Source organism: Homo sapiens, chromosome 20 (genome assembly GCF_000001405.40).
Source record: "Homo sapiens chromosome 20, GRCh38.p14 Primary Assembly".
Taxonomy (NCBI): domain Eukaryota; kingdom Metazoa; phylum Chordata; class Mammalia; order Primates; family Hominidae; genus Homo; species Homo sapiens.
Window position 1 is genome coordinate 41,705,190 of NC_000020.11, and position 7,619 is coordinate 41,712,808.

Below are 7,619 nucleotides of genomic sequence, written 5' to 3' on the forward strand. Positions count from 1 at the left end.
AACCCAATTGCTCATCAAGAGGGGACTGGTTAAATAACTTATGAAAGTACTTGCTCTGGGGCTGTACTGCTCAAAATAGATAGCCTGTTGTTTGTTACTGGTCTGCTAGGAGATAAAGAACTTGAGCCAGAATGTAAATCAATGACTTTATCAAGAGTCTTTCTGACAAAATATATATATATTTACAGTTGACCCTTGAACAACATGGGTTTGAACTGCACAAGTCCATTCATATGTGGATTTATTTCAATGAAAGTTACACCGAATATGCCTGCCTGTCCTACCTCCCTTTCCCCTTCTCCACCTCTTCCACCTCTGCCACCTCGGAGGCAGCAAGACCAAAGTTTCCTTTTCTTCCTCCTCCTCCTCCTCAGTCTACTCAGTGTGAAGATGGTGAGGATGTAGACCTTTATGACAGTCCACTTCCAACTAATGAATAGCAAATATATTTTCCTTATTTTATTATTTTATTTTCTCTAGCTTAGTTTCTTGTAATAATACAGTATATAATACATAAAACATACAACATATGTGTCAATCGACTGTTTATGTTGATCAGTAGGTTTCCAGTCAACAGTAGGATATTAATAGTTACATTTTGGGGGTAGTCAAAAGTTATGGATGGATTTTCGATTGCATAGGGGGATGATGCCCCTAACCCCTGCGTTATTCAATGGTCATGGGTATATATCAACAGAAATAAACAGTGCGCTTAGAGACGTAATTGATTTGCATTCTGGTGCAAGCTCCTCCCTTATCTTTTCTCAAACCAGTAGCAAACAGTCTCTGCACTGGTAAACAGACCAAACTTTGAGTAGCATTGCTAAAGTGTAACAGAAATGAGCTACGGATGTAGAGCAAACAATGTCTAAGATACATTGTTTGTTTGTCTCACTCTGTCTTCCAGTCTGGAGTGCTGGATCATATAGCTCACCGCAGCCTCAAACTCCTGGGCTCAAGTGATTCTCCCATCTCAGCTTCCTGAGTAGCTGGGACTGCAGGCGCATACCAGCATACCTGGCAAATTTTTAATTTATTTTTTGGGCAGAGACAGGGTCTTGCTATGTTGCTCAGGCTGGTCTCAAATTCCTGGCCTCAAGTGATTCACCTGTCTCGGCCTTGAAAAGTGTTGGGATTACAGGTGTGAGCCACAGTATCTGGCCAAAATACACTGTTAAAAGAAAAAAGTATGCTCCAGAACAGTATGGTGTTTTCAAAAGCAATGCTCTAGACAAAAAGGGGTATATAGGCACAGAGATATGTTGGTAGATGCACGAAACATTTCTGGAATAAGTCCTAAGAAATAAACAGTGTTTACCTCTGGGGAGTGCAGCTGGGAGTCTGGGGTGAGAGACCTCTTTCTTTGTTGTATATCCAATCTGCTGTACAGTAGGTACTCCCCAGTACAGTATAGTGGCTTGGAATCTGTCATCCTGATTAGTCTGTGCCCTAGTTGCAACAGTCATTAAATATTTTGAATGTCACTCCTTTTACTGTTTGAACAACAACAACAACAACAACAAAACGCACAAAAACCAAAAAATACTACATGCATGCATCACTTTCTTTCTTTTCTGTTTTTTTTGAGACGGAGTTTCGCTCTTGTTGCCCAAGCTGGAGTGCAATGGCGCCATCTCGGCTCACTGCAACCTCCATCTCCCAGGTTCAAACCATTCTCCTGCCTCAGCCTCCCGAGTAGCTGGGATTACAGATGCCTGCCACTGCGCCCTGGTAATTTTTTGTATTTTTAGTAGATATGGGGTTTCACCATGTTGGTCAGGCTGTTCTTGAACTCCTGACCTCAGGTGGTACACCTGCCTCGGCCTCCCAAAGTGCTGGGATTACAGACATGAGCCACTATGCCCGGTCATCACTTTTGTATTTAAAAACAAACTAGTGGCTGGGTGCAGTGGCTCACGCCTATAATCCCAGCACTTTGGGAGGCCGAGGCGGTCAGATCATGAGGTCAGGAGTTTGAGACCAGCCTGGCCAACATGGTGAAACCCCGTCTCTACTAAAAATACAAAAAATTAGCTGGGTATGGTCGCACACACCTGTAATCCCAGCTACTTGGGAGGCTGAGGCAGGAGAATCACTTGAACCCGGGAGGCGGAGGTTGCAGTGAGCTGAGATCGCGCCATTGCACTCCAGCCAGGGCGACCAAGCAAGACTCCATCAGAAAGAAAGAAAGAAAGAAAGAAAGAAAGAAAGAAAGAAAGAAAGAAAGAAAGAAAGAAAGAAAGAAGGAAAGAAAGAAGGAAAGAAAGAAGGAAGGAAGGAAGGAAGGAAGGAAGGAAGGAAGGAAGGAAGGAAAGGAAGGAAGGAAGGAGGAAGGAAGGAGGGAAGGAAGGAAGGAAGGAAGGAAGGAAGGAAGGAGAAAGAAAGAAAGGAAGGAAAGAAAAGAAAGAAAGAAAGAAGGAAGAAAGAAAGAAGAAAGAAAGAAAGGAAGAAAGAAAGAAAGAAAGAAAGAAAGAAAGAAAGAAAGAAAGAAAAACTAGCTATAGAGAGAACACTGATCTCCTAGAGCCCCCATTTGCTGAATAACAAGCCTCCTTGTTTCATTTTTCACAAACATTTCTTCCCTCTGTTCTCTCCACTGGGTCTATGAACAAGGGTTTGCTCTCTGTCGGTGCTTTGGCGTTCTTCTCCTGCAGATATATTCACAAGAAGTCATCTTGGTTCACAGCCTCATGATGAAGAGGGCTCAGGGGCCAGAGGGCTGATTATGGTTCTAATTTGCAATTATACAGTGATTTTTCACACTGCTCATGAATGCTGACTTCCTCCCTGTTTGGGTTGGAGAGTTAGAGGGATCTGATTTGATTGAAGCAGTATAGGCTGTGATTATCATAAGAATTTGGCATAGTAAATTGAATTGGGAAGTATTGGGCAACAAATGTAAATTATTTCCTTTCATTTGTCACTCCTACACAACTGTATATTTACTGTTTGTGGCTGACCCTGTGTAGAAAAGTGAAATGACTTAATCCTAATGCCTTTGAAATGGGAACTGTTGAGACACCTGAGTGGTCTCTTTGAATTCAAGATGCAAACAGATTGCGCTGCTGTTTGGAGGGAGCATGGAGCTGAAACAATATCCCTGGAGTCTAGTAGTTTTTTTTTTTTTAAGTTCAAGTGCTCTAGGCCCACCTACTGTGGTTCTAGATGGATGTTTTAAATATTTGCATTTTAAAATATTTTAAAAACTCTTATTTCTGTGTAATAAAAAAGTTCGGCCAGGCGCAGTGGCTCATGCCCATAATCCCAGCACTTTGGGAGGCCGAGGTGGGCAGATCACCAAAGGTCAGGAGTTTGAGACCAGCCTGGTCTACTTGGTGAAACCCTGTCTCTACTGAAAATACACAAAAAAAAAAAAAAACAACAGCTGGGTGTGGTGATGGGTGCCTGTTATCCCAGCTACTGGGGAGGCTGAGGCAGGAGAATTGCTTGAACCTGGGAGGTGGAGGATGCAGTGAGCTGAGATCGTGCCACTGCACTTCAGCCTGGACGAAAAAATGAAAACGTTGGCTTGCCTTTGTCCTGGGTTCTTAGAAGGTAGATAACCTGTAAATAATTGGAATTTTCTGATTGAGAAGAGTGTCTTCGTTTTTCATGGTGGACCTCAATAGTTTAAGCTAATGAGATGACTCAATATGGGAGCGGGCCACACTAGGAAGAACCATGGTGTGATTAGAGGGATGGGGTTTTTAGCCATGTGATATCACTCCTCAGAGGAAGAGGAGACGGGGCATAGCCAATGATTCAATCGATTGCTCCTACAAAGTAAGACCCCAATAAAAGCTCTAGACACTGTAATTTAGGTGAGCTTCCCTGATTGGCAATACCTTGTGTATTGTCACATATTAATGTGCGGGGAGGGCAATAAGCCCTGACTCCACTAGGAGAAGACAATGGAAGTTTTGCATCTGGAACCCTCTCAGACCTTGGCCTATGTATTCTCCTTGTGGCTGGTTCTGATTCATATCCTTGTGCTATAATAAAACTACAATTGTAAGTACAGAACTTTCCTGAGTTCTGTGAGTCATTCTAGTGAGTTATCAAACTTGAGGGGGTAACGAGCACTCCCGAGTTTGTAGCCAGTTGATCAGATGTGAGAGTGGCCTGGGGACCCCCAAACTTGCAGCTGGTGTCTGAAGTGAAGGCAGTCTTCTGGAGGATTATACCCATGGCTTGTGAAGTTTGGCCTAACTCTGGATAGTTGGTCTTAGAAGTCATTGCAATTTCTTTAACTTTTTATCTTGAAAAATTTAAAACTTAAAGAAAATTTGCAAGTGTAGTACAATGAATACCCATATACTTTTCACTTAGAGTCTCCAATTTGTTAATGCATTCCCATATTTGTGTCATTTCTCTTTCTGTATATACTTTTTTTTTTCCTGAACCAATTGAAAGTTGCAAACATGTCATCCCTAAACACTTCAGTACATACCTTCTGAGAACCAGGACATTCTCCTACATAATTCCAATAGCATGATCACTCACAAGAAATTTAGCATTGATACAATAATATTATCTAATATGTTTCTATTTTCCCTATTGTCCTTAAAATAACCCTTATAATTTTTTCCTTTCAATTTAGGAGGATCCAGTCAAGGGTCATGTATTCCTTTGGTTGTTATGTCTCCTTGGTTTCCTTAAATCAAGATTCCAGAACTGTCTCCTTGCTTTATTTGTTTTTGAGACAGAGTCTTGCTCTGTTGCCCAGATAGGAGTACAGTGGCACGATCTTGGCTCACTGCAACCTCCACCTCCCGGGTTCAAGCAATTCTCCTGCCTCAGCCTGCCCAGTAGCTGGGATTACAGGCGCCTGCCACTGTGCTTAGCTAATTTTTGTATTTTTAATAGAGACGGGGTTTCACCATGTTGGCCAGGCTGGTCTGGAACTCCTGACCTTTCAGGTGATCCACCCCCCTCGGCCTCCCAGAGTGCTGGGATTACAGGCGTGAGCCACTGCGCCTGGCCTGTCTCCTTGTTTTTTTGTTTTTTTTTGAGACAGAGTCTCTCTCTGTCGCCCAGGCTGTAGTGCAGTGGCGCGGATCTCGGCTCACTGCAAGCTCCGCCTCCCGGGTTCATGCCATTCTCCTGCCTCAGCCTCCCGAATAGCTGGGACTACAGGCGCCCGCCACCGCACCCAGCTAATTTTTTGTATTTTTAGTAGAGACGGGGTTTCACTGTGTTACCCAGGATGGTCTCAATCTCCTGACCTTGGATTACAGGCGTGAGCCACTGCGCCCAGCCTTGTTTTTTATTTTAATTTAATTTAATTTTGTCTGTAATGAAATTGACGCTTTTGAAAGGGCCACACTACCTGACTTGTATATTGTAAATTGTAATCTCAATTTGTCTGATTGTTTTCTCGTAATTAGATTCAGATTATATATCCTTAGCAAGAATACAAACTATGTAGATGATGTGTTGATGAAAAGTTTGTACTAGTGTGATGTCAACCAAGATGGCAGAGTAGAAGATCCCTTGGCATCACTCCTCTCAAAAAAATACAACTAGAAACTATTCAAGACCAGAATACCACCCTGAGTTCACCAACACACCAACACTTGGAGGAGAAGTGGAGAAAACCCTGGACGAACAGAATTGAGAAAATCTGTGACCGGTAAGGGAAGTCATCATTTCAGACTGTGCTGTCCCCTCCCCTAACCAGGCAGAATGCTACGGACAGAGAATTTCCCCCAATCCATTGTTTCAAGAGTTAGAGGAGGGAATTGGGGGTGGATGTTTGATCTCTCCATGGTCTGGGAATCTTCAAGGGAAGTCCACTCTGGTCCTGTCCCATGGGAACCTTTGGGAGTGCTGGGAGGGCTGAACCACCTGGGATGACTTAGAGACAAAGAGCAGGATGCCGATTGCAGCACTGGCACTTGGATCTTGGTGGCTACTCTGTGCTCTGATTGGTGGGGATGCCATGTTGAAGAGACTGGCTGGAGTCATAGTGCTGCAGGGGCACAGTCCATGGAAAGGCCCAAATGCCTGGCTGGATTTTCCACAATGCCCAGGTACTTGCAGAAAGCGTTTCCTTGGCCAGGAGACAACTAAAAGGTCAGGATTAAGTTCCAGTACCTGCTTAAGTCTTCCCCATACTGAGAAACTATGGCAGGGTGGCCATATAGTTCTGGGGCAACATTTAGCCTCCTGTGTTTACTATAAGTTTTCCCTAGACCAAGAAACAATGACAAAGCAACAATTTAGCTCCAGTGCAGTGTTTTAGTTCTGGTGCTTGCTGTAAGTCCTCCCCAGAATGGGCAGAAACAACAGGCCAGCATTTAAATTCCAATACTAAGTAGTAAAGGTCTAAAACAAGCAAAGAACACCTGCAAAAACTAGAAGAGGTGCCTGTTTCCTCAGATATGCAAACATCAGTGTAAAGATGTAAAGACTGTGAAAACTCAGGAAAATATGACATCACCAAAAAAAACCAACAAAGTTCTAACAACAGGCCCAGAAGAATTGAAGATCTATGAAATGTGAGACAGAGAATTCAGAATCCTCTTAAACAAGTTAAGGGAATCATAAGAAAATACAAATAGAAAATTAAATAAAACTTGGAAAACAGGGTGGGTGTGGTGGCTCACACCTGTAATCCCAGCACTTTGGGAGGCCGAGGCAGGCAGATCACAAGGTCAGGAGTTCAAGACCAGCCTGGCCAACATGGCGAAACCCCGTCTCTACTAAAAATACAAAAATTAGCCAGGCGTGGTGGTGCGCACCTGTAATCCCAGCTACTTGGGAGGCCGAGGCAAGAGACTCACTTGAACCCAGGAGGCAGAGGTTGCAGTGAGCTGAGATCGTGCCACTGCACTCCAGCCTGGGCAACAGGGTGAGACTCAGTCTCAAACAAACAAACAAAAAAACTTGGAAAACAATCGAGGAACAAAATTAGAAATTTGACAAAGACATAGGAATAATTTAAAAAATCGGATAGAAATTCTAGGAATACAGACTAGAATAACTGAACTGAAAAACGCATTAGATAGCTTCAACAGCAGACTTGATCAAACTGAGGAAAGAATTAGCAAGCTTGAAAACAAAATATATGAAATTATCCAATCAGAGGGTAAAAAGAAAGGTTTGGACTGGAAAAGAGAAAAAGTACATCAGCAGTGAGGTGCAAGCATATCACACACGGCACATAGAAGAACTGCATGGGCCAAGGGCCACAACTTGTGGTGGAGACAGTTTTACAGAGCAGGAATGTTGGAGTTACCTGAGGCTCATTTCTTATTCTCCTTTTTCTTTTTCTTTTTTTTTTCTTCAGCTGTGACTCCAGACATGATTCAAAGAGGAATTTTGCAATATCATTTCTGGGTTTTACGGAAACTTACTTTACCTTTCTGTGTTAGGCTCTTAAAGCACTGTGTCAACCTTAAAAGGACACAGGAAAGGGCTTGTCACTTTTCTGACACCATCTAATCCCAGCTCATTCCAAGGCTAAGAGGGTTCTCACATGTCCATCTCTAGCCCAGCCTGCTTCCCTAAACACAGTCCTGATACTCAGCTACTTACTTTCATCTCAAAGGTGGTCTCAAAGATCCCTCATGCTAACATGTTCAGCATTCAACTCTTGAGTCTCTACACCAGTCCCC

General features: G+C 43.2%; 1 non-coding gene across 1 annotated transcript; it reads right to left on the minus strand.

Annotated features, from left to right (window-relative positions):
• Positions 1 to 7,289: 7,289 nt before the first annotated feature.
• On the minus strand, positions 7,290 to 7,411 carry LOC124900463 (small nucleolar RNA SNORA26). The gene has a single exon (XR_007067766.1). It is a non-coding gene; the product is annotated as a small nucleolar RNA SNORA26 (small nucleolar RNA).
• Between the last annotated feature and the right edge of the window lie 208 nt (positions 7,412 to 7,619).